At 47.3% G+C, this 26,393-nt stretch overlaps 1 protein-coding gene across 1 annotated transcript, besides 6 other annotated features; it reads right to left on the bottom strand.

The window, feature by feature from the left end:
* Positions 13,585–14,435: an enhancer, noted in NCBI's record as "OCT4-NANOG-H3K27ac hESC enhancer chr10:88785123-88785973 (GRCh37/hg19 assembly coordinates)". NCBI's record gives its function as "activates a minimal SCP1, AML or CMV promoter by ChIP-STARR-seq in naive H9 embryonic stem cells {active_cell/tissue: H9 hESC(naive)}" and the evidence as "EXISTENCE:reporter gene assay evidence [ECO:0000049][PMID:30033119]".
* Positions 13,915–14,209: an enhancer, noted in NCBI's record as "tiled region #4381; K562 Activating DNase matched - State 5:Enh". NCBI's record gives its function as "activates a minimal TATA promoter and a strong SV40 promoter by Sharpr-MPRA in K562 cells {active_cell/tissue: K562}" and the evidence as "EXISTENCE:reporter gene assay evidence [ECO:0000049][PMID:27701403]".
* Positions 14,436–15,288: an enhancer, noted in NCBI's record as "OCT4-NANOG-H3K27ac hESC enhancer chr10:88784270-88785122 (GRCh37/hg19 assembly coordinates)". NCBI's record gives its function as "activates a minimal SCP1, AML or CMV promoter by ChIP-STARR-seq in naive H9 embryonic stem cells {active_cell/tissue: H9 hESC(naive)}" and the evidence as "EXISTENCE:reporter gene assay evidence [ECO:0000049][PMID:30033119]".
* On the bottom strand, positions 15,071–19,507 carry FAM25A (family with sequence similarity 25 member A). The gene is made up of 3 exons (NM_001146157.3): positions 19,404–19,507; positions 17,425–17,487; positions 15,071–15,260 (listed from the first exon to the last, which is right to left on the bottom strand). Exons 1-3 carry the CDS (start codon positions 19,474–19,476, stop codon positions 15,127–15,129), a joined length of 270 nt encoding a protein of 89 aa, NP_001139629.1. The 5' UTR covers positions 19,477–19,507; the 3' UTR covers positions 15,071–15,126.
* Positions 18,987–19,487: an enhancer, noted in NCBI's record as "H3K4me1 hESC enhancer chr10:88780071-88780571 (GRCh37/hg19 assembly coordinates)". NCBI's record gives its function as "activates a minimal SCP1, AML or CMV promoter by ChIP-STARR-seq in naive H9 embryonic stem cells {active_cell/tissue: H9 hESC(naive)}" and the evidence as "EXISTENCE:reporter gene assay evidence [ECO:0000049][PMID:30033119]".
* Positions 19,488–19,988: an enhancer, noted in NCBI's record as "H3K4me1 hESC enhancer chr10:88779570-88780070 (GRCh37/hg19 assembly coordinates)". NCBI's record gives its function as "activates a minimal SCP1, AML or CMV promoter by ChIP-STARR-seq in naive H9 embryonic stem cells {active_cell/tissue: H9 hESC(naive)}" and the evidence as "EXISTENCE:reporter gene assay evidence [ECO:0000049][PMID:30033119]".
* Positions 25,995–26,144: an enhancer, noted in NCBI's record as "active region_3702". NCBI's record gives its function as "activates an Ori minimal core promoter by ATAC-STARR-seq in GM12878 lymphoblastoid cells {active_cell/tissue: GM12878}" and the evidence as "EXISTENCE:reporter gene assay evidence [ECO:0000049][PMID:35858748]".

Here is a 26,393-nt window from a genome sequence, read left to right as displayed (position 1 = left end):
AGAATACATACACACACATATACCCATACATAAACCTACTGGCCAGGCATGGTGGCTCACACCTGTAATCCCAACACTTTGGGATGTTAATGCAGGCAGGTTGCTTGAGCCCAAGAGTTCAAGACCAGCCTGGGCAACATGGCAAAACCCCATCTCTACAAAAAGTACAAAAACTAGCAAGGTGTGGTGGCTCACACCTGTAGTCCCAGCTACTCAGAAGGCTGAGGTGGGAAGATCACTTAAGCCAGGAGGTGGAGGTTATAGTGAGCCAAAGATTGCACCACTGTACTCCAGCCTGGGTGACAGAGCCAAAAAGCAAACAAACAAATAAACCTACTAGAGCTAATTTTAATTCAGCAAAATTGCAGGGTACAAAATCAACACACAAAAATTAGTTATGGAAATATACATGTTAAGATGGCCAACTAGATGCAGCCAGGTGCAACAGCTGCCACCGAGGGACTGATTTGACTGGTGCACTACTAATGGATCTTCAGAGGGAAGGCACTGAGAGTAGATGGAGGGAAGACACAGAAGCTAGGCTAAAGGGGTAGTAAGCTGGGAGGCCTGCATGGGGCTACTGCACCCTGGAACTCATTCCTGGCCCCCAATGACTGGGGGAAAGGGTGAGTTGAACTTGCAAGAAGCAATGCTTCTTATGTCCAGCCTCTGGAATCCTGGCAGGAGATCCTTTGAGCATCATGGACAGTAGAGTTGCAAGGGAGAGAAGCTTGGAGAAGCAGCCAGGGCAGCAGCCAGCTGATGAACCCAGAGGGTTTGGTGTGAGAGCAGCTGTAGTGGAGCACAGCCAAGGACAGCCACACCCCTAGACTCAACTTGCTCCCATAGGAGACTTTCACCCTAAGGGAACCACTGGGCCTGAACTTCGCAATGCAGTCTTACTCATCAGGCAGGGCTGGTCCTACCTGAGCACTCCTTGGTTCGCTGGCCTCTCTGAGGGTCCAGCCTGGCCATGCCTGATTGCAGGGAAGCCTTGAGCACCCTAGGGGCCCACATCATAGCTCCAGTGCTGGTGGACCATGCCTGAAATGCGAAGAGCTCCCCCGGGGCAGCTCCCAGGGCCACACACCAGTGCACACACTCCTTCTACACTGCATCTTCCCCAAGGCCCACGGTAACACCGCACATGGCTTTGCCAACATGTGTGTGCATGGGCAGCTTCTGCTTATCTTGTCCTGCCAGCCTGCATGTATGTGTACACCCTGCCCTGCAAGTACTGCAGCAGGAGTGCAGTCTGCTCCACTCTCCCTTCTGACCACCACTGTAGTCAGAGCCTTGGTGGGCACAGAGCCAGCCAGCCCCAACCCCTCCCCTGCCAGTGCCCCACCCATTTGCCAGCACTGCTCCAAGTGAAACTAGGCACAGAGAACAGCAGACTCTTCCCTACCCTGAGCGCTCTCCAGCACCCTGCTGCCATGTCAACACCACTACTGGTGCAACCACATGCACAGACACCAGAAGGGGCCCCCACCCTGCCAGCTGTGTTCCCTTTGCTGCTGTGGTAAATGCTGCCACAGAGGCAGGCATGCCAGCACCCACTAGCACCCTACTGCAGCCATGCTGCTGCTGCCACTGCCGCTGGCACATGCAAATGGGGATGGATTCCACTGTCTCTGCACTACTAAAAGCTTTGGCTGACATCACCCGTTAGAGTGTAGTGACCAGCAGTCTGAGAGCATCTTGGCTCACCCAGTGCAGTGGATTCTTATCCTTGAGGAGACAGAACAAAGTTGGGGCTCGATACAAGTCCTCCAGGGTTACAGCACACAGTCCAGGAGTTGGGAGCTCAGTGTTGGTCCTCTAAACTCTTCCAGAAATGAAGCCAGTTGACTGAATCCACCTTATACCACAGTGAAACCCTCAAGGTCGTCAAATAGGATAAAAGGAAAAAAACCCATCCAAAGGTCAGCAGCTTCAAAGATTGAAGGAAAATAACCCTGCAAAGATAAAAAAGAACCAGTGCAAGAACTCTCACAACTCAAAAAACCAGAGTGCCTTCTTTCCTCCAAACGGCTGCACCACCTCTCCAGCAAGGGGTTTGAACCAGGCTGAGATGGCTGAAATGACAGAAATAGAATTCAGAATATGGATTGGGATGAAGATCTTCGATATGCAGGAGTATGTTGAAAGCCAATCTAAGGAAGCTAAGAATCAGGATAAAACAATGCAAGAGCCAACAGAAAAAATAGCCAGTACAAAAAAGGATGTAGCCAACTTGATAGAGCTAAAAAACACACTACAAGAATTACATTAATAGCAGAATAGACCAAGTGGAAGAAAGTATCTCAGGGGCTGAAGACTGGCTTTCTGAAAGAAGACACGCAGACAAGAATGAAGAAAAAAAAATTAAAAGGAAGAAACAAAACCTCTGAGAAATGTGGGATTATGTAAAGAGACCAGATCTACGACTCACTGGTGTCCCTGAAAGAGATAGAGAGAGTATAAGCAACTTGGGAAGTGTATTCCAGGATATCATTTATGAGAACTTCCCCGACCTAGCTAGAGAGACCGACATTCAAATTCAGGAAATGCAGAGAACCCTAGTAAGAAACTTCACAAGAAGATCATCCCCAAGACACATACTCATTAGATTCTCTGAGGTCAAAATGAAAAAAAAAAGTTAAAGGCAGCTAGAGAGAAAGGTCAGGTCACCTACAAAAGGACCCCATCAGGCTAACAGTGGACCTCTCAGTAGAACCCCAACAAGCCAGGAGAGATAGGCAGCCTATCTTCAACATTCTTAATAAAAAGAAATTCCAACTGAGAATTTCATATCCAGCCAAATTAAGCTCCATAAGTGAAGGAGGAATAAGATCCTTTTCAGACAAGCAAATGCTGAGAGAATTTGTTATGACAAGATCTGCCCAAAAGCTCCTGAAGGAAGCACTAAATGTGAAAGGGAAAGACCATACCAGCCACTACAAAAACATCCTGAAGTATGCAGAGCAGTGACAGCATAAAGCAACCACACAAACAAGACTGCGTAATAACCAGCTAACATCAGGATGACAAGATCAAATCCACACATATCAATACTAACCTTGAATGTAAATGGGCTAAATGCCCCAATTAAAAGGCACACCATGGCAATCTGGATAAAGAATTAAGACTCATTGGTATGCCATCTTCAAGAGACTCATCTCACATGCTATGACACCCACTGGATCAAAATAAAGGGATGGAGAAAAATCTACCAAGCAAATGGAAAACAGAAAAAAATCAGGGGCTGCAATCCTAATTTCAGACAAAACAAACTTTACAAACCAACAAAGACCAAAAAACACAAAGAAGGGCATTACATAATGGTAAAGTGTTCAATTGAACAAGAAAACTTAACTATTCTAAGTATTAGTATTTATGCATCCAAAACAGGAGCACCCAGATTCATAAAGCAAGTTCTTAGAGACCTTCAAAGAGACTTAGACTCCCACACAATAGTAGTGGGAGATTTTAACATCTCACTGACAGTAATAGATACATCACTGGGGCAGAAAATTAACAATGATATTCGGGACTTGAACTCAGCACTGGATCAAATGGACTTGATAGACATCTACAGAACTCTCCTCACAAAAATAACAGAATATACATTCTCATCACCACATGACACATACTCCAAAATCAGTCACAGAATCATACACAAAATACTCCTCAGCAAATGCAGAAGAACTCAAATCATAACAACCAACCTCTCAGCCCATAGTGAAATCAAATTAGAAATCAAGACTAAGAAATTCACTCAAAATCATACAATTACATGGAAACTGAATAACCTGCTCCTAAATGACTTCTGGGTAAATAATTAACTTAAGGCCAAAATTAAGAAGTTCTTTGAAATGAATGAGAAAAAAAGATACAACATACCAGAATCTCTGGGACACAACCAAAGCAGTTTTAAGATGGATATTTACAACACTAAATGCCCACATCAAAAAGTTAGAAATATCTCAATTTAACAACCTAACATCACAACTAAAATAATAAAAGAACCAAGAGAAAACCAGCCCCAAAGCCAGAAGACAATAAATAACCAAAATCAGAACTGAAGGAGATTGAAACACAAAAGTATTCAAAAGATCGATGAATCCAGGAGTTGATTTTTTTGAAAAGAATCAATAAAATAGAAAGACTGCTAGCTAGACTAATAAGAGAGAAAATCCATATACACATAATCAGAAACAATGGAGAAGATATTACCACTGACTCCAAAGAAATACAAATAACCATCAGAGAATATTATGAATACCTCTATGCACACACAGGAAAATCTAGAATAAATGAGGCCGGGTGCAGTGGCTCACACCTGTAATCCCAGCACTTTGGGAGGCTGAGGCGGGCAGATTGCTTGAAGCCAGGAGTTCAAGACCAGCCTGGCCAACATAGTGAAACCCCATCTCTACTAAAAATAAAAATAAAAAAGTTAACCAGGCATGGTGGCGCGTGCCTGTAGTCCCAGCTACCCAGGAGGCTGAAGCAGGAGAATCGCTTGAACCTAGGAGGTGGACATTGCAGTGAGCAGAGATCGTGCCACTGCACTCCAGCTTGGGCAACAGAGTGAGACTTTGTCTCAAAAAAAAAAAAAAAAAGAAGGAAAAAGAAAAGAAAATCTAGAAGAATTGGACAAATTCCTGGACACATACAGCCTCCCAAGACTGATCAAGGGAAAAATTGAATCCCTGAACAGACCAATAATGAATGAGCTCTGAAATTGAATCAGTAACAAATAGCCTAACAACAACAAAAAAAGCCCAAGACCAGACAGATTTACAGCTGAATTCTACCAGATGTACAAAGAAGAGCTAGTACCATTCCTGCTGAAACTATTCCAAAAAAGTGAGGAGGAGGGACTCTTTCTCCTTCATAATTCATTCTGTGAGGCCAGCATCATCTTGATACCAAAACCTGGCAGAGACACAACAAAAAAAGGAAACTTCAGGCAAATATCCTTGGTGAACATCAACGCAAAAATTCTCAACAAAACTCAGCAAACTGAATCCAGCAGCACATCAAAAAGCTTACCCATCACAGTTAAGTAGGCTTTATCCCTGGGATGCAAGGTTGGTTCAACATATACAAATTGGGCCGGGTACAGTGGCTCACATCTGTAATTCTAGCACTTTGGGAGGCTGAGGCGGGCAGATCATCAGGTCAAGAGATCAAGACCATCCTGGCTATCACAGTGAAACCCCATCTCTACTAATGTAGCAGGATAAGCTGCAGACAAAACTCAGACACCAAGTTAAAGAAGGAAGGGGTTTATTCGGCTGGGGGCATCAGCAAGACTCCTGTCTCAAGAGGCAAGCTCCCTGAGTGAGCAACTCTTGTCCTTTATAAGGGCTCACAATTCTAAGTGGGTGCACGCAAGAGGGTCATGATTGATTGAGCAAGCAGGGGGTACATGACTGGGGGCTGCATGCACCAGTAATTAGATTGGAACAAAACGGGATAGAGATTTTCACAGTGCTTTTCTATACAATGTCTGTAATCTATAGATAACATAACTGATTAAGTCAGGGGTCGATCTTTAACTACCAGGCCCAGGGTGTGGCACCAGGCTGTCTGCTTGTGGATTTCACTTCTCCCTTTTAGTTTTTACTTTTTCTTTCTTTGGAGGCAGAAATCGGGCATAAGACAATATGAGGGGTGGTCTCTTCCCTTACTAAAAATAAAAAAAATTAGCTGGGTGTGGTAGCAGGCACCTGTAATCCCCGCTACTCAGGAGGCTGAGGCAGGAGAATGGTGTGAACCCAGGAGGCGGAGCTTGCAGTGAGTCGAGATCACGCCACTGCACTCCAGCCTGGGCGACAGAGCAAGACTCCGTCTCAAAAAAAAAAAAAAATACAAATCAATACATGTGATTTGTCATATAAAGAAAACTAAAGACAAAAACCACATGATTATCTCGATAGATGAAGAAAAGGCTTTTAATAAAAATCAACACCCATTCACGTTAAAAATTCTCAATAAACTAGATATTGAAGGAACATACCTCAAAATAACAAGAGCCATGTATGACAAATCCACAGCCAACATCTTACTGAATGGGCAAAAACTGGAAGCATTCCCACTGAAAACCGACACAAGACAAGCATGCCCTCTCTCACCAATCCCATTCTGTTAATTTTCAAGGCTGCAGTGGAGCCAGTGAGGAGGGGATGAGAATAGAATAGGGCAAGTTAAAAATACCATACCGCTTGCTGTTCTTAATGAGATTTTTCATTTGTTTGTTTGTGTGTGTGTGTATATATATATATATATACACACATATATGTATGTATACCTACACAAACACACACACACAGTGAATGGAAAATAAATCTTGGGGCCCCAAAATCACTAAGCTAAAGGGAAAAGTCAAGCTGGAAACTGCTTAGGGCAAACCTGCCTCCTATTCTATTCAAAGTCATCCCTCTGTTCACTGAGATAAATGCATATCTGATTGCCTCCTTTGGAAAGGCTAATCAGAAACTCAGAAGAATGTAACCATTTGTCTCTCACCTACCTGTGACCTGGAAGCCTTCTTGCTGCTTGAGCTGTCCCACCTTTCTTGACAGAACCAATGTATATCTTCCATATATTGATTGATGTCTCATGTCTCCCTAAAATGTATAAAACCAAGCTGTGCCCTGACTACCTTGGGCACATGTCATCAGGACCTCCTGAGGCTGTGTCACAGGTGTGCATCCTCAATCTTGGCAAAATAAACTTTCTAAATTAACTGAGACCTTTCTCAGATATTCAAGGCTCACATTTTGGCAACCATGAAGGGATTCTGGGTGGAGGTGCCCCTGACCTTTGACAAATCTCCTATCAGTGCTCGGTACTAGCTTGAACTATCTTTATGGCTCAAACCAATAGGACAATTTGCTGAGACCTGGAAGCAACCCCTCCAGAGAATCACTGATCTTTCAAAATTTGGTCAAGATCTAAAGTTTATTTTGCTGTACAACTCCTTTTTTTGGAGTTTTACTAGCTTCCAACACAAGAAAGGCAAGTTTTTCCTGCTTCGATGATGATAAAATGCAGGTAACTCCTTTATGGAGTTTGAGCTTGCGTCCAATGGGGAAGACAAATTTGAGTTTTTTCCTGCTTCTAGGATGGTAAAGAGCAGTCTTCAGCCTGAGACCCATGCCTTACCTAAGGATGGGTAACTGAAATGCGGTTTGTCTTGGCTAAGGTCAAGATTAACAACCAGTTGGTTGTAATTTCTCTTTACCATTACAGCACTCAGTAGTTGCATAAGTTGTGCCATCTTTGTTTTGCTTAATTATTTTTGTTGTTGTTGTCTGTTTGTTTCTGTTTTTGTTGTTGTTTCAGTCTTTTCCCCGTTGTGATTGATCAACTCTATCCAACTTGATCAAATCCAAAGGAAACTTCCAAATTATGGGGAACAAGACCTCTGAAGTGGCTAAATTCCCACACTGTGGTGGGGGAGAAAAACGGCCAACAAAAGGAAAAAAAAGAAAAGAAAAAAAAAACAGGAAAGATTTTTTATTTTGACTACTTAATGGGCTTTATTTACATAACGAGGCCACCTTTTTGCTAGCCTGGCCAAACCGAAAGAGCAATGGCTGTCACCCCACACTGCAGTTCCATAGCTAAGGGCTCTGGCTTCTTTTTTTCCACCACGACAGCTTGGGTGTGTTTCCTAAATCAAGCCATTTTTGGTTTGATACTTGGTACTTCTGAAATAGCAGAAATTTGTTCTAGCTGAATTATGGTAATGAGATTTAAAAAGATTTTTTTAAAGGAGCTCAATGATTAAAAGTCAGCTTAACTAAAAGCTAACATCCAAGATGTGTGCATGTGTGTGTGTTTGTGCGTGTATGTGTGTGTGGGTGTGTATGTGTGTGTGTTTATATTGAAAAGACATTCACTTTTTTTTTTCTCCTAGGACCTTGTCTCTCTCTCTTTTTTAACCTAAAGATTTTTTTTCTCATTTGACTGAATTCTTTTTTTTTTTTCATTTACTTCTGCTGTCTCTCCTTTCTCTTGCACCCTCTGCTGCATGAGGCACCTAAAATATTTTAGTTTATAATAGCCTGGCTTTCCTTCAAGAAAGCAGAGAAGGCACCAGACTCCCTTTTGGGGAGAAACCTGTTTTTCCTTATGAAACCCCATGAGTGTAAACAGACAAGTTCATCTCAGCTCTTAAACTGCTTGCTTTTGTATTGTGTTACCTGACTTATTGACTAAAAGAATTATTGCACCAAAGACTACTCTGGTTTTTAAGGAAGAGTGTAGTTTAGACATTAGAAGTGACAGGTGACAATGTGCTGGGGGCCCTCGCTCGCTCTCAGCACCTCCTTGGCCTCGGCGTCCACTCTGGCCATGCTTGAGGAGCCCTTCAGCCTGCCACTTCACTGTGGGAGCCCCTCTCTGGGCTGGCCGTGGCTGGAGCCAGCTCCCTCTGCTTGCGGGGTGGTGTGGAGGGAGAGGTGCGGGTGGGAACAAGGGGGGCACTCGCAGGCCAGTGCGAGTTCTGGGTGGGTGTGGGCTTGGTGGGCCCTGCACTTGCAGTGGCCGGCCAGCCCAGGGCAGTGAGGGGCTTAGCACCCAGGCCAGCAGCTGCGGAGGGGGCGCCAGTTCCCCCAGCACTGCCGGCCCGCCCACGCCGCACTCGAATTCTTGCCGGGCCTCAGCCACCTCCCCGCGGGGCAAGGCTCGGGACCTGCAGCTGGCCATGCCGAACCCCCCAGTGGTGGGCTCCTGCACAGCCTGAGCCTCCCTGACGGGTGCCACCCCCTGCTCCGTGGCATCCAGTCCCATCGACCGCCCAAGGGCTGAGGAGTGCAGGTGCATGGTGCGGGACTGGTGGACAGCTCTGACCACAACCCTGGCTCAGGATACACTAGGCGAAGCCAGCTGGGCTCCTGAGTCAGGTGGGGACTTGGAGAACTTTTATGTCTAGCCAGAGGATTGTATATGCACCAGTCAGCACTCTGTGTCTAGCTTGGGGTTCGTGGATGCACCAATAGCACTCTGTATCTAGCTAATCTGGTGGGGACTTGGAGAACTTTTATGTCTAGCTAAAGGATTGTAAATGCACCCATCAGTGCTCTGTGTCTAGCTCAAGTTTGTAAATGCACCAATCAGCACTCTGTGTCTAGCTCAAGGTTTGTAAATGCACCAATCAGTGCTCTGTGTCTAGCTCAAGGTTTGTAAACACACCAATCAGCACTCTCTGTCTAGCTAAAGGTTTGTAAATGCACCAATCAGTGCTCTGTGTCTAGCAAATCTAGTGAGGACTTGGAGAACTTTTATGTCTAGCTATAGGATTGTAAATACACCAATCAGCACTCTGTGTCTAGCTCAGGGATTGTAAACACACCAATCAGCACCCTGTCAAAACAGACCAATCAGCTCTCTGTAAAATGGACCAATCAGCTTTCTGTAAAATGGGCAAATCAGCAGGATGTGGGTGGGGTCAGATAAGGGAATAAAAGCAGGCTGCCCCAGCCAGGGGCAGCAACCAGCTCGGGTCCCCTTCCACGCTGTGGAGGCTTTGTTCTTTCGCGCTTTGCAATAAATCTTGCTGCTGCTCACTCTTTGGGTCCGCACTGCCTTTATGAGCTATAACACTCACCGCGAAAGTCTGCAGCTTCATTCTTGAAGTCAGTGAGATGAAGAACCCACCAATTCCGGACACAGAAGTGTCTTCATTTAAAAAAATTTTTTAAGTGCACTGAAAAAGCATCACATATTCTAGCCTCATAATAATTCTCCCTTTTTGGAGATCCAGGATTCAGTGTGGGCTCTGCCCAGAGCTCAGAGATCTAGTAAAAAGATAGATAGTTCCTATATAAATAAAATTGGTCTCCTCATATAATCCTATGATAAATTTCTTTTTTTTTTTTTTTTTTTTTTTTGGAGACAGAGTTTCGCTCTTGCTGCCCAGGCTGGGTGATCTTGGCTCACTGCAACCTGCACCTCCCGGGTTCAAGTGATTCTCCTGCCTTAGTCTCCTGAGTAGCTAGGACTACAGGTACCCACCACTGCACCAGGCTAATTTTTGTATTTTTAGTAGAGACGGGGTTTCACCATGTTGGGCAGGATGGTCTTGATCTCCTGACCTCATAATCTGCCTGCCTCAGCCTCTCAAAGTGCTGGGATTACAGGCATGAGCCACCGTGCCTGGCTATCCTATGATAGATTTCTGAAATGTTATGTTTGATTTGGCATCCTTTTTTTTGTTTTTGTTTTTTTTTGTTTTTTTTTTTTTTTTGAGATGGAGACACTCTCTGTCACTCAGCCTGGAGTGCAGTGGCACAATCTCGGCTCACTGAAACCTCTGCCTCCCAGGTTCAAGCAATTCTCTCACCTCAGCCTCCCAAATAGCCAGAATTACAGACATGTGCCACCACACCTGGCTAACTTTTGTATTTTTAGTAGAAAAGGGTTTTCACCATGTTGGCCAGGCTGGTTTTGAACTTCTGACCTCAGGTGATCCACCTGCTTCCACCTCCTAAAGTGCTGGGATTACAGGTTTGAGCCACTGCGCCTGGTGTGGTATGTGGTTTTACTGCATGTGACTAGTTTACATGCAACTAGCCATGCAAGCTCAGTAACCCAAGGCGGTCTATACCCTATTCAACAAGAACCATCTACTGATGACACTTCTGGAAGTCTGGGCAATATCAACTTGCTGTAAGAGTTCCCAAATGCTCTCAATTATCATGTGACAACAAAGTTTTCAAACCAGTAAATTTTGAGTAGCCCTTTACTAGGAATAATCTTGAATAAGTTAGTATTGCCCTCCACAACCACAATTTAAAAAATATCCGTATTGGTTTTCTCTTCAATTCAAGCATCATGTAAATATGTAATGTAGAAAATGAGGATTTCCCATATTCCCATAGAATCACAAAGATGATCACTGCTAATATGTGTGCTACATATATGATACCAGGTTTATTCTTTTTTTTTTTTGTCTTCTTTTTTTTTTTTCTGTCACCCAGGCTAACGTCCAGTGGCACGAACTTGGCTCACTGTATCCTCTGCCTCCCGGGTTCAAACAATTCTCCCACCTCAGCCTCCCAAGTAGCTGGAATTACAGGCACCTGCCACCATGCCCACCCAGCTAATATTTTTGTATTTTCAGTGGAGACGAAGTTTCACTAAGTTGACCAAGTTGGTCTCGAACTCCTGACCTCTGGTGATCCGCCCACCTTGGCCTCCAAAAATGCTGGGATTAAAAGCACGAGCCACTATGCCTGGCCATTTTTTTGTACTCTTATACAATTATATACTTGCTTTATAAAAATGAACTTATTCTACATATATATGTTATTACATTATTAGGACATGTTCCCTAATGACATATTACATTTTCATCATTCTTTTTTAAAATATTTTTTTCCTGAGACAGCATCTCACTCTGTTGCCCAGACGGGAGTACAGTGGCCTAATGACAGGTCACTGCAGCCTCAAGCTCCTCGGTTCAAGGGATCCTCCCATCTTGGCCTCCTGACTAACCCAGCTAAGTTTAAAAAAAAATTTTTTTTTGGCCTGGTGCTCATGCCTGTAATCACAGCACTTTGGAAGGCCAAGGCAGGCAGATCACTTGGGGTCAGGAGTTTGAGACCATCCTGGCCAACATGGTAAAACTCCGTCTCTACTAAAAATACAAAAATTAGCTGGGCATGGTGGCAGGTGCCTGTAATCCCAGTTACTCGAGAGGCTGAGGCAGGAGAATCACTTGGGCCCAAGAGGTGGAGGGTGCAGTGAGTCGAAATCATGCCACTGAAATCCAGCCTGGGTGACAGAGCAAGACCCTGACTCAAAAATAAATAAATAATAAAATAACTTTTTTTTTTTTTTTTTGGAGAAACAAGTCTCATTATGTTTTTGAACTCCTGGACTCAAGCAATCCTCCCATCTCAGTTCCCAAAGTGCTGGGATTACAGGTGTGAGGCACTATGCCCAGACATTTTCATCATTCTTTTTTTTTTGAGATGGAGTTTTGCACTTGTTGCCCAGGCTAGAGTGTTATGTCACGATCCCGGCTCACTGCAACATCCGCCTCCCAGGTTCAAGTGACTCTCCTGCCTCAGCCTCCTGAGTAGCTGGGATTACAGGCATGAGCCACCACGCTCGGCTAATTTTGTATTTTTAGAAGACATGGGGTTTCTCCATGTTGGTCAGGCTGGTCTCAAACTCCCGACCTCAGGTTATCTGCCTACCTCGGCCTACCAAAGTGCTGGGATTACAGGCGTGAGCCACCATGCCCAACCCATTTTCATCCTTCCTAGTAGCCATGGAGCATTCCATTTAATCAACTGTACGTGCAATATTTTTTTCCAGGGGCAAGGGGCTCATATTCACACAGATGGGAGTCCAGTTGGTGAGAAGGTGGCAGGTGGCACAGCCCCCTTATACAGCATGCCATACTGGTCCACTGTCAGACCGGTGATGGCCACAGCTCCATCACCCCCAGGCTGACTCTGGCTCCTGCCTGGCTCTGCCCGGCCACCACAACCCCTGGGAACCATTCAGAGGCATCACTGGAGGGTATGTGGTTAGTGGAGCAGCTGGTTGTGGGGAGGTCTCGTTTCTTTGGTGGAAGGCATTCCTGACTCCTCTCATGAACAGGTTTCATATTGCTTTGTGGTGTTCCTGGAGCCTGGAAGGAGTTGGCTTGCTCCCTGGGGCATCAGGAGGGGCTTCTCGGTAGCTTCCCTGTACCCCTCTAGGCTTCTGGCTGGGGCGCTCACATCTGAGCTTCCAGCGGTGCTTCTGAGCAGCTGTAGTAAGCGTCCTCCCGGCTGGCTCGGGAGCTCACAGCGCTTCCCGGGATCCACTTGCTCGTCCTGGAGCTGCCGCAACTGCGGCCGTCCCATCCCTGGCCCTGGAGCCGCCCCATACCCCTGTATATGCAATATTTGTTAACCAGTCCCTTTTGGTGCCCATCTAGGTACAGGTCTCATTTTTCAAGCTAAACTCTATAATACACTGGAAGTAATAGATGTCACCTCCATATTGTATGCCAAACCTAATAAGCAGAGCAAAACTTTTCATCCAAGTGATTTGGTTAACATTTTAGGATGTTTCTAATCTCTCAGTAATACAAATATGCTACAGTAGATCTGTGTGTTTATCCTTTGGGCACCTGTGTGTGCCTGTGCACACCTGGCGAATAAAGTCCTGTGAGAGGAACCGCCATCCAAAAAGGGTGTTTCAGTCTGTACTGCCACCAACAATGTGCTGATGCCTCTGAGCTTGCGTTTGGATCAGGAGAATTTGAAAGTCATCAGGAACCAAACCAGGATACAAGGTCCACTGTAGCTGGAAAGTGGCAAACATTCCAAAGCTAAGACATTGGCTATTCCTGGGCTGTTCACAAACTGTGAGGCCACTTCTAGATGAGATCCAGAAAAAGGGTGAGCAGCTCACTTATTTTTTAAGCAAAACACCTTTTCTTCTCATTTCTGCTAAGAACAAATAGCTTCCAGCAAGAGAAATAGGGGATGCAATATTTTTACAAATTACTTCTCTTTTTTTTAATTAAAAAAATGTTAAGTTAAATGCTACTTAAAGATATGTTTAACCTCTATGATACTGACTTGCTCATGAGAAGAAAGAGAGAAGGCCAGGCATCTTGCCCACTAATACCCACTATCAACACTTAGGCCTGACATCAGTCGCTAAATATTCTGGGCTGGGCACGGTTGCTCACGCCTGTAATCCCAGCACTTTGGGAAGCCAAGACAGGTGGATCATGAGGTCAGGAGATCGAGACCATCCTGGCTAACATGGTGAAACCCCGTCTCTACTAAAAATACAAAAAATTAGCCAGGAGTGGTGGCGGGCACCTGTAGTCCCAGCTACTGGGGAGGCTGAGGCAGGAGAATTGTTTGAACCCAGTAGGCAGAGGTTGCAGTGAGCCAAGACCGTGCCACTGCACTTCTGCCTGGGCAACAGAGTGAAACTCCGTCTTAAAAAAAAAAAAATCAACAGCAGCTTCTAGGATGACTGAGCAGTGACTCAGTCTCTCCTTGACCAGATTCTGTAACTCTCCAGCAGAAATGCTTATCTGATCTCTGCGAGAACAGGAAGCAGCTCAGTGGGGGCCTTCCTTGCTAAATTCTTCATCAAGCTGGTCTGTTATCTGCCCTGAGTCCTGCAAAAACATCTCAAGAAAAATCCCAAAAACATGCAAGACAAATGAGGGTCCTCCCTTAGCATGTCTTGAAGCACTGAGGCACCTGAAAGTTACATATAGTTTCCGGGGAAACAGTTTTTTAGGAAATGTAGCACAGACACTAACTATTCTTCCAGAAGAGCCCCTTCCTGACATGAAAGATCTTACTTAGCATGACAGAGAAGCATCTGATTCATCATGAGGACCTATCCAGCCAGCAGCAGGGGCCCCAGTGCCAGTGTCCACCTCAACAGAGGAGACACGGGGGACATGCAAAGTGTTTCTGTTGAAAAATACTTCACCTAGGGTGACTATAGTTAGCAGCAATGTATTGTATATTTCAAAGTAGCTAGAAGGCTAGGTACAGTATCTCATGCCTATAATCCCTGGGCATTTTGGGAGGCCCAGGCAGGCAGATCACCTGAGGTCAGGAGTTCGAGACCAGCCTGGCTAACATGGTGAAACCCCATCTCTACTAAAAATTAAAAAAATAAAAAAATAAAAATAATAAAAATTAGCCGGACGTGGTGGCCTGCGCTTGTAGTCCAAGCTACTCGGGAGGCTGAGGCAGGAGAATTGCTTGAACCTGGGAGGCAGAGGTTGCAGTGAGCCGAGATCACACCATTGCCCTCCAGCCTGGGCGACAGAGCAAGACTCTGTCTCAAAACAAAAACAAAAACAAAAACAAAAAAACAAAGTAGCTAGAAGAAGGGACTTGAAATGTACCCAACACATAGTAATACCAAATATTCAAGGTGATAGACACCCCAAACACCCTGATTGATCACTATTCTGTGCATGTAATAAATACTTAAATGTACTCCATAAATATGTAAAATATGTTATATCAACAAGAAAATACTTTGCCTAGTGTTTCCATCCAAATGGGTATAAATCCAGCGCTCAATGTACACATGTCATGGCTTTTTATTGAGACTGGGGAAGGGCCGTGGTAGCAGGTGCACTCACTGTCCAAGTTTGTCCAGACTCTCTGCTGCATGGGTGATGGCATTTGTGACTGTGTTGGTCACTGTCTCAGTGATTTCCTTCATCTTTTTGTCCCCTGACTCTTGGGCTTTCTTTATGGCTTCAGCAATGGCTGTTGGAAAGAAAGAGGAAGAATGTCCTAGTGATCCACCCGCTGAACTTGTGTCCCCTTGAGTGGCCTGTGGGATGTGGCCATCTTAATGGATTAGTCTCTGGAGTGGCCCGATGGGACCAAGGGCAGCAGGATTACTGCAGAATGAATTTGAATTTGGTTTTAATTTCCCCAACAACTTGCATTTCTTCAACTGTGAGTGAGACTGAGCATCTACTCATGGGTACATTGCCTGCTTATCCTTTTTTCTGGAAAATGCCTGCTTATGTCTTTTGACCATTTTTATATTGGGTTGTTATATTGGATTATCATTTTTATGACAAATATTTTTCATCAGTGTGTAATTTTTCTTTTGGCTTGGTTTATAGTTTTTTTTTTTTTGGCTATAGAAAATTTCAGTTTTGGATTGTCAAATTTACTTAATATTTCCTTTATGGCGCTGATTTTTTTGTCATGGTTCTAAAGATTCTCCCCTCTCCAAGATTAGGCCAAAGTCTTTTATGTTATTACTATGTCTAAATGTTTATGATGTCTTCCCCCTCAAAACTCATACGTTGAAATCCTCAGTCTTAATGTAATGATATTAAGAGGTGGGGCCTTTGGGAGGTTGAAATTAGCACCCACATAAAAGAGACCACAGAGAGCTAGCTCCTTCCACCATGTGAGGACAGAGCTGGGCCCATCCACGAACCAGAAAGACTCCCTCACCAGATGCCAAATCTGCCAGTGCCTTCCTTGATCTTGGACTTCCCATCCTCCAGGAGTGTGAGAAATTTCTGTTGTTTCTAAGTCGCCCAGTTTATGGTTTGTTTTTGTTTTTGAGACAGAGTCTTGCTCTGTCACCAAGGCTGGGGTGCAGTGGTGCAATCTCAGCTCACTGCAACCTCCGCCTCCCAGGTTCAAGGGAGTATCCTGCCTCAGACTCCTAAGTAGCTGGGATTACAGGCATGTGCCACCACGCCCAGCTGGTTTTCGTATTTTTAGTAGCAACGGGGTTTCACCATATTGGTCAGGCTGGTCTTGAACTCCTGACCTCAGGTGGCCCACCCACCTTGGCCTCCCGAAGGGCTAGGATTACAGGCGTGAGCCACTGCACCTGGCCTATGGTATTTTATAATAGCAGCCTGAGCTAAGATGGTTATCTCCTAGTAAGTTAATAAATTCATTTATGTAAATTTAAGTCCTTCATCTACCTGGAATCTATTTTGTTGAAAAGGAATGAGATATACATATGCTTTGTACATAGTTCTACTCATAGCTCACACACATCAATTTAACATTTAACATAGAATTTTACATGTTAAATTTTTTTTTTTTTTTGAGACGGAGTATCACACTGTCGCCCAGGCTGGAGTGCAGTGGCACGATCTCGGCTCACTGCAAGCTCCGCCTTCCGGGTTCACGCCATTCTCCTGCCTCAGCCTCCCGAGTAGCTAGGACTACAGGCACCCGCCACCGTGCCCAGCTAATTTTTTGTATTTTTAGTAGAGATGGGGTTTCACCGTGGTCTGGATCTCCTGACCTCGTGATCCGCCCACCTCAGGCTCCCAAAGTGCTGGGATCACAGGCGTGAGCCACCACACCCAGCAATTTTTTTTTTCTTTTTTTTTTTTTGAGACCGAGTCTCACTCTGTAGCCCAGGCTGGAGTGCAGTGGCATGATCTAGGCTCACTGCAAGCTCTGCCTCCCAGGTACACACCATTCTCCTGCCTCAGCCTCCCAAGTAGCTGGGACTATAGGCACCCACCACCATGCCCGGCTAATTTTTATGTATTTTTAGTAGAGATGGGATTTCACCGTGTTAGCCAGGATGGTCTCAATCTCCTGACCTCGTGATCCACCCTCCTCAGCCTCCCAAAGGGCTGGGATTACAGGCGTGAGCCACCGCGCCCTGCCATGTTAAATGTTTTGTCCCAGTGTGCTGTCACATAGTCTTGTGTGACTTTGTCTTCTTATTCCACAGACAGAACCATCTAGACAGTGCCCTAACGCAGTACAGTCTGTGGCCTCTGATGAGCATAGATAACTGCCCCAGCCAAGAGGCTCTGAAAGGCTGCAACATTGGGGGCAGAGTTTGACCTGGTTAGTCAAAGAACAGGTTGGCCCAGCACCTAGCTTCCCTTGCTCCCTCCCTCCTTCCCTGCCCGACCTCAGCCAGCTGTACCTTTCTCTCCAGTCTCCTTGGCGTGTCCCACCACCTCCTTCACCACTTCTTCCACGGCATGAACTGAACAGAGGAGACAAGTCCAGGGTGAGGGCTCAGAGCAGAGCCGCTGCCCTCCCAGTCCAGGGTGAGGGCTCAGAGCAGGCCCACTGCCCTCCCAGTCCAGGGTGAGGGCTCAGTGCTGGCTTATCCTCACAATGGACCTATACATCCCTGGACATCCTAGATGGGGCTCTGGGATGCCACCCCCAGCCAGGACAGACTGGCTCATGAGAAGGACCTTCCCCCACAGCTGGCTTCCTTCGGAGACGCCAGGGCCTTGGCTGCCGGGAGACGAGCTCAGTGAGCCCCATGAGGGCATGGGTCCCTGAAGCCCCTTGGCCCTGCCCGGCCTGGAATGGCAATGAGCAGGCCATCTTGCCAGCTGAGACATGAAGCCCAGGCTGGGCCTCTGTGCCAGGTCACACCCCTCTCAGGATGTGCTAGCGCCTGCCTCAGGTTGGTTTCCAAAGCCTCATCCAGTAAAACCAGGTCTCTCAAAGCAATTCCTCCAACAAAAGGGAATTCTCTGCCTACTTCAGAGTTTTTTAAAGTGTAGGTGGTAGCATGCTAGAACTGAAGGATTTCAGAGTCAGAAGAAATGGTTCTTATTCTAACTCTACCTTCCACCTCTTGGTTCCCTCATCTTTAGAATGGGAATCTGTTGGGGTGATGAGACCCAACACCAGGTCGCGGGGGCGGCAAGTCCAGAGGAGTCAAAGGAATGAGAAAGAGACAGTTTGAGAGAGAAAATGGGAGCGGGGCGCCATCGCGAGTGTGGAGGCTGCGAAGGCCCGGAGTTCTGGGAACCCATGCTATTTATTGGTGATCTAACAAAGAAACAGGTGGTGAGGATGTGGCGGTTGAAAGGAAACGGTGTATCAAGTGAATGAGAAACATACGGCTACTTGAGAAAATGGGAGTGCTAGAAGCAAGGAGCCAGCCAATCTAGCAAGCCCTGCCTCAGCTTCTCTCCCAACACTCAGCTTTTCTCCCAACAGGAATCATACAAAACTCAGAGGCTAGTGAAAGGTTAAAGCAGGTGGTCCACACCAGCTGCAGAGTCAAAAACAAAATACGCGTCTGCTGCCATTTAGAAAGAGGACACAAACTCAGGCAAGACTGTTTTTCACACGATGACCCATGAGTGGCTCCTGGCTGGGCCTCCCCACACATAGCTGCTGACCTCTGAATACAACATACACTTCGGGACCAGGTGCGGTGGTTCACGCCTGCAATCCCAGCACTTTGGGAGGCCAAGAGGAATGGATCACTTGAGGTCAGGAGTTTGAGACCAGCCTGGCCAACATGGCGAAACCCTGTCTCTGCTAAAAATATAAAAATTAGTTGGGCATGGTGGTGGGTGCCTGTAATCCCAGACACTCAGGAGGCTAAGGCATGAGAATCACTTTGAACCCAGGAGGCAGAGGTTACAGTGAGCCGAGATCGCACCACTACACTCCAGCCTGGGTGCCAGAGCAAGACTCCATTTCAAATACAAATAAAAATAAAAATAAACATGCTTCAGGGGACTTGGATGAAATTGAAAATGCCCTTTTTGACTTTGAACAGACTTGGTGACTTGTTTAGAAATCTTTGAAGCTTTAAAGTTATGGTAAAAATAAAAATCCATCTTCCTTTTCCTGCATAGGTTATTCAGAATAGGCTGTTTTGACAAGAAAGGCTCCCCAGATTTCCAGAGGGAAGGGTCCAAGCTGCCAGTGTTCACCCAGCACCAGGACTCATGCCCTGCCCCCAGGAGACCTCCCCAGGTCTGCACCCCTCAACTCCGTGCTGACTTGGTAGAGCAGGGGACCAGGGTTCCTGAGGGGCCAAGGCCTCCTCCCAGGTCCTCACCTGCCTACTTAGATCCGCCTCCCACAGACCCAGTCTGCCCCAGATCCCCCCAGCCCAGGTAGAAAGGAGCCCCAGGTCCTCACTGGCTCCCTCGGTGGCCTTCTCGGTGCGGTGGGCCAGGCCTTCGGCAGCCAGCTTCCCCAGGCCTCCCAGCATCGTGTGGCAGCAGACAGTGGTGAACTAGGATGCTGAGGACTGGCCCAACATGCTTTTATAGCTGCCTCTGGTGCCTGTCTAGGCTCTGGGGCAACAAGCCCTTGCCCCAGCCCAGTAGGAGGCTGGACAGGTGAGTCAGCGAGGGCGGCAGCAGGAAGGGGCTGGGCGGAGCCACCCTGGCACTGGGGTGGCAGCATCCCCTGACAGCCTGAGGCTTCTGTAACCCTGTCCTAGGGACCCCGTGAAGGATAGGGGCAGGGAGCAGGGCTGGACAGGAGAGATCTGGACATGCCTCTTCCTTGAGGCAGAGGGCCTGAGTGCCAGCCCCCCGAGACCAAAACTTCCCAAGCCTGGGTACTGATATGTACCTGGAGACAAGGCCTAGGATTCCAAGCCTGCTGCTCAAGGTCCCCAGTGTGGCCTAGTAAGAGGTTTAGGGGTTCTATGGGCCTGGAGACCTGGGCAGTCCTTTGGGTCATGAACACAAGTGGAGTGAGGGTGACTGCCCTCCCCATTCCTGGAGACCCTGGCTCTGCAGAGCAGTTTGTGGCCTCTATGGGACAGGGTGGGGCGTTCAGGGTGGTGCCTTGCCTGAGTCAGAGGGGGGCACAGCACTGGGCAGAAGTGTAGTCACCTGGCTTTGCTCAGCTGATGCTCACTCACCCAAGAGTGTCTGTGAGGCCAGCAGTGCCCTCCTATCCCCTGGCAGTCCTGGAGGAGTAGACAGAGGCCTCCACCACCACTCAGGGAGATGCTTCTGGCCTTAGCTAGAATCCCCTAGAAAGCAGCTTCCCTGGCTCCTGGTGCATCACATGAGGAGTGGCAGGGCTGCTCCCTAGTTACTCATGATGGACAGACATGCCTCAAGCCACCTGCCACATGCTGCTTCCCTTAGTCACCAGCCCAACCTGAGCCTCCGTTTCCTCATCTGTAAAATGGGGATAGCGTGCCTTCCTGGCTGTGTCACTAATCGTCCCTGAGACAAAGCATGCAAGCTCCTGGTAAACACCTGTTCCCTCCACTCATCATTGAGGTGCCCTTTGGCAGTGAGCTCTGACCAACCGGTAGGGTGGGCCAAGGAGTGACTGGGACGTGAGGCTGCCTTGGAGCCAGAGGGCTGGGGAATGTGACTTCCGCTGGCCAGGAGCCAAGGAGAGGTCTTCCCATCCTCCTACTTCTGGGGTGCAGGCCTGTGGCAGGGGTCTGAGGCTCTCTCTTCAATGCAGGCTCCTGGAGCTGCTCTCCTGGGTGTGTTGGGGCCTGATTAGTTTACTGGACTGTGGGCCCTCCCAGCCTGGGACTCGGGAGCTGAGACCCTCTTGCATTCCTGCATGGTGTTTGCGGGCTCCAGGGCTACGGCCAGTCCCCCTAGGGTGGACAGTGGGTATCGTGGGCAGCAGGACCTCTGGGTCTCAAGACTACGGCCCCACACATGCCATTGCTATCTCCTTTGGGCAGGGGTGAATTGGGGCTTAAACAATTTAGAGGGGCCCTCTTTATGAAAAAGAATACAATAATATGATTCTTGCACATTTTTCATTTATATACGTATGAACTTCTGGACCCAGAAGGGGCTGTGAAAGTCGGGGGCCTGGAGCTCAGGCGGGTCCAGATGACCCTGTCCTCCTTTTGTAACAGCCAGAGTCCAGGATGTTTTTGCCCAGGGCATTGGGCTGGCACTGCAGAGGCCTGGGGGATGGGGGGACACCTGGGACATGGCTGGTGGGAATTGTTCTAGGAAACCTCAGGGATTCTCCCTGGACCTGTCAAAGCCCCTTCCCTGTTTCTTCTGAGGCTGTGTGTCCCCCACTCGCACAAGGGTCCTTTCTATGCCTGTTCCGCTGATAAATGTCATCTGCCTGCTCTAGAATGGCTTCCAGACCCCACAGACCCCCTCCTCACGAGCTCCCACCCTAGGGTACTCTCCACCAGTCCCCGCTTTCAGGAGCTCACCAGACTCAGACAGCCTGTTGTCAGAGCTCAGCCACACAGCAGGACCCTGGCCCACTGCCCAGACCAGAGCCAGGCCCACCGCAGCCTCGGGGGACAACTGTCCTTCCCCCACCCCCTCCACATGGTCCCCTGCCCATGAGACCCTGCCCTGCTAATTTAATGCACTGCCTTGGTGTGAGCACTGTGATTCTAATGACAACACACCATGGCCTTCTGGGCAAGGCTGGGTCCAGACACAGATCCCAAATGCCTGCTGGGGAGAAGGCAAGAGGCCCGGGGAGGCCCAGGACAAGACATGGGTCCCAGGCCCTGGTGCCCTCCCTCTTGGCCTTCCAGCCGCTGCTGCTGTGACCAGATTCCCATCCACCCAGCCCAGTCCATGGGCCCCAGCAAGCCATCTGTGCCCCACAGAGGGCAGACCCCTAAGAGTGGGACCCCTTTCTAGCCAAAGAACATGAGATGGCCCCAAATCCTCCTAAACAGGATGGATCCTGGTCTGAGGGGCTGGGCTCAGGTGACTCCTGCAGGGAACTTCACCTGCCTGGATGAGGTCAAGGGTGAATCAGGTGGGGCCTGCCCTCCACCACCCCATCATGGAAGAGGTCCAGCCCACGGTGGGCCCAAGAGGGCCGCCCTTGGACCTAGGGACCCAAGTCAGCATATCCTGAGTCAGAAGGTCAAGTCCAGCCTCCCCTCAGGCAGGGAGAATCTGGCTTTGACAGGAGCAGATAAATTCTCAAGGTGGAATTTGCCCAACAAACTAGTTTGGCAAGGGACTAGCTGGCTGAATCATTGAGTCAAGGACAGCCAACGTTTCCAATAGCAATTTGCCAACTTAGCAATGACCAATTCTGAAAAACAATTTGTTTATTTGAAATACTTAAATACTTAGGCTGTCTCATGTCTGAAGCATGATGATGCCTTGCGTGATTTAAAGGACAGACGTCACGAATGCCAAGAGTTTTGTGGCGGTCCATCCTGCCAGTGTCTTCTCCCACTTTTGCTCTGTGGATTTGAGCTCACAGTTTGTGCTGTGCCCACCACCTGCCCACCCTAACGAGACTCCTGGAGACTTGGCTGGCCAGTCACCAGAGGAAGAGGGGCCCAGCAGCATGCCAGCATTCACCCACCTGTGGGTATCAGTCAGGCTCCTGGTGGAAGCCAGAGGACATATTGGAATGGGTATTTGAGGAAAGGGGCTGTTCACAGAAGTGTGGACCGAGTTAAGGGAACCAGTAAGAGATGAGGAATGTCCTGGACCAGCAAGAGTGGGAGCTGTTATCTCCCTGGGTCTAGAGGGACAGGAAAGGTGTCCACAGATCCCAAAGAGAGCTGTGGAGGTAGAGGAGGATCATCAGGAGCTGCAGCCATCAGTAGAAAGATGTGGCCACTGCCAAACCAGCAAGGAAGAATCTGAGCGAATAACCACCTCTCCTCTCTCTCTCCCACCTCCTATGACATCCTCCACTGTTTGAATTCCACTAGGGCCAGACAGTGAGGCACCCTGGTGATGCAGTCCAAGAGGGAGTGGGCAGAGAGGAGCCAGTGGGTATGGAGGGGAAACAGAGAAACAGAATTCCAGCTCACTCTGCGGGATTTCTGGGTCTGATAGAAACATGGCATTATTATTATTATTATTATTATTATTATTATTATTATTATTATTATTTCGAGATGGAGTTTCGCTCTTGTTCCCCAGGCTGAAGTGCAGTAGCATGATCTCGGCTCACTGCAACTTCTGCCTCCTGCGTTCAAGAGATCCTCCTGCCTCAGCCTCCCGAGTAGCTGGGATTACCGGCACATGCCACCAACGCCTTGCTAAGTTTTGTATTTTTGGTAGAGATGGGGTTTCACCATGTTGACCAGGTTGGTCTTGAACTCCTGACCTCAGGTGATCCGCCTGCCTCGGCCTCCCAAAGGGCTGGGATTACAGGCATGAGCCACTGTGCCCAGCCTGCAGCAGCTTAATTTTACAGTGTCCCTTTTCTCCTTCTGGAAACTATATGGAGCAACAACAAGACTGAGGAGGAGGAGGAGGAGGAGGAGGAAGAGAAGGAGGAGGAGCAGGAAAAAGCCCATCATCAACACACACATCAAACTCAACTTCAGAGAAATTAGGAAGCTGGGAAGCCACGTAAACCCAAAAGCAGGAGACACCAGCAGAACCAACGCAGGAAGCCAGGGAAGTGCAGAAGAACAGGGCATGGGGGGCAACCCAGGGGGGAAATCTTCACTGTTGCCAGCAACACACACTCCCAGCAGGAGAGGACCCTCAGAGTGAGAATGCAGAGCTGGAGAAGTGAAGAAGGAGCAGGTGGTGCCCGGGGAAGTCCAGCGGTGTGGTATCTGAGAGCACTCCTTCCCAAGAGAGGCTGGAGCACTTGAGAAGGCAAGGCTGAGTCCCCGGAGGCTGTATCCGGGAAAGGAGGCTGGCAGTAGAATCTTCCTGAAGCCAAGTGGGTTCTGAGAGGCAGAGGGGCAGTGGTACAGAGGTGAGGCTGACGCTTCTGTGCAGGAAGGGCAGGCTCCTGAGGAAGGGAGACCTGAATGCTCTCCACTAGATTCCCAGGGAGCCCCACTCCCTCCACAGGACCTCGCGCTGACATCTGGGAAATGCCATTCATACTGGAACCTCCGACACACTGCCATGAATGTGAGGGTTTCGTGACTGATGGGGTAGGTTTCTCTCTTCCAACTTAATAGTATAATTTCCATTTATTCCTCCCCCAGCCTCCCTGAACATTCACCTCTTAGCCACAGTACGGTGATCAGAACCAGGAAATCCACATTCGCATATTTAACTATATTAAAATTATTTCACAAAATAACCAATTTTATTAATTTAATTAAATACATTTAAATAATGTTTAAATATATTTAAATAATTTAACTAATTTAAAATGAACATATTCGCTAAACAAAAGACCTTATTGGAGTTTCACCACTTTTTCCACTAATGTCCTTTTTCTGTTCCCAAATTCCACCCAGGATCACGCTGCATTTAGTTATTTCTTAGTCTCTCGCCGTTTTGTAGGACTGCAATAACAGTTCCTCAATCTTTCCTTATCTTTCATAACCGTGACATTTTGAACCAGTACTGATCACTATTTGTCAAATGTTCTTCGATTTGGGTTTGTCTGATGTATTTCCATGATTGGACTGAAGTTACGCACTTTTGGCAATTACAGCTCAAAAATGATGTGGAATCCTTCCCAGTGCATTCCATCAGAGTTATGGCATTGATAGTTTTTCTTACTGATGATGTTGAACTTGTTCATTTGGTTCAGGTTTCTGCTGGGTTTCTCCATTGTAAAGTTACTATCTTTCCCCCTCATAGGGGGAAAGATCTTAGGAGAAATACTTGGAGACTATGAAAATTTTGTATTTTCTCAAACTTTAAAATTTTTTTTCAGGCCAGGCGCAGTGGCTCACGCCTGTAATCCTAGCACTTTGGGAAGCCGGGGTGGGTGGATCACCTGAGGTCAGGAGTTCAAAACCAGCTTGATCAACATGGAGAAACCCCATACCTACTAAAAATACAAAATTAGCCAGGCATGGTGGTGCATGCCTGTAATCCCAGCTACTCAGGAGGCTGAGGAAAGAGAATCGCTTGAACCTGGGAGGAGAGGCTGCAGTGAGCTGAGATCGTGCCATTGCACTCCAGCCTGGATAACAAGAGCAAAAGTCCATCACAAAAAAAAAAAAAAAAAAAAAAGGGCCAGGCGCAATGGCTCACACCTGTAATCCCAGCACTTTGGGAGGCCAAGGTGGGTGGATCACCTGAGGTCAGGAGTTGGAGACCAGCCTGACCAACATGGAGAAACCCCATCTATACTAAAATAAAATACAAAATTAGCTGGGCATGGTGGTGCATGCCTGTAATCCCAGCTACTCGGGAGGCTGAGGCAGTAGAATTGCTTGAACATGGGAGGTGGAGGTTGCCGTGAGCCGAGATCCTGCCATTGCACTCCAGCCTGGCCAACAAAAGCAAACCTCCATCTCAAAACAAAACAAAACAAAACAAAAAACACCTATTTTGACAGCCGGGCATGGTGGCTCACACCTGTAATCCCAGCACTTTGGGAGGCCAAGGCAGGTGGATCACCTGAAGTCAGGAGTTCAAGACCAGCCTGGCGAACATGGTGAAACCCCGTCTCTACTAAACATACAAAAATTAGTTGGGCATGGTGGCATGTGCCTGTAAGTTCCAGCTACTTGGGAGGCTGAGGCAGGAGAATCGCTTGAACCCAGAAGGCAGAGGTTGCAGTGAGCCGAGACGGCGCCATTGCACTCCAGCCTGGGCAACAGAGTGAGGGATCTCAAAAAATTATAATAAAAAAAATAATAATTCTATTTTGAATTGTGGTAAAATATACATAAAATTTACTACCTTAACCACTTCTAAGTGGTAGTTGGAACAGGGGTCAAGGAGAGCCCTTGGGTTGGGTAATGTAGAGTATATTCACATTGCCATGCAACCAATCTCCAGAACTTTTTCATCTGACAAAACCAAAACTCTATATCCACTAAGCAACTTCCCATTTTCTCCCTTCCCCATGTCCCTGGCAACCCCCGTTCTACTTTCTGTTTCTATTAGTTTGCTTACTCAGTCTAGACGCTTCACATAAGTGAAAGAACACAGTATTTGTCTTTTTCTAACTGGCTTGTTTCACTTAGCATAACGTCCTCAATGTTCATCCATGTTGTAGCATGTGTTAGAATTTCCTTCCTTTTTAAGGCTGAAGAATATTTTATTGTATGTATATACCACATTTTATCAATTCATCTGCCTATGGACAATTAGGCTGCATCCATCTTTTGATGAGTGTGAATACCACTGCTATCAATATCAGTGTACAAACATTTCTATGAGACCTTGCTTTCAATTATTTTGGCTATATACCCAGAAGTGATATTGCTGGATCATTTGGTAATTCTATTTTTAATTTTTTGAGAAACTGCCT

The sequence above is a fragment of the Homo sapiens genome, chromosome 10 (assembly GCF_000001405.40).
Source record: "Homo sapiens chromosome 10, GRCh38.p14 Primary Assembly".
NCBI lineage: Eukaryota > Metazoa > Chordata > Mammalia > Primates > Hominidae > Homo > Homo sapiens.
This window is presented reverse-complemented; position numbering and strand designations above follow the sequence as displayed.

What these genes read in the sequence shown, in the direction of transcription:
- FAM25A (NM_001146157.3), bottom strand. Translation starts at nt 19,476, where the DNA reads ATGCTGGGAGGCCTGGGGAAGCTGGCTGCCGAAGGCCTGGCCCACCGC. An exon ending in GAAGGCCACCGAGGGAGCCA is followed by an intron (nt 17,488 to 19,403) that starts GTGAGGACCTGG and finishes TCCTCTGTTCAG; the next exon opens with TTCATGCCGTGGAAGAAGTG. An exon ending in CAAGGAGACTGGAGAGAAAG is followed by an intron (nt 15,261 to 17,424) that starts GTACAGCTGGCT and finishes TCTTTCCAACAG; the next exon opens with CCATTGCTGAAGCCATAAAG.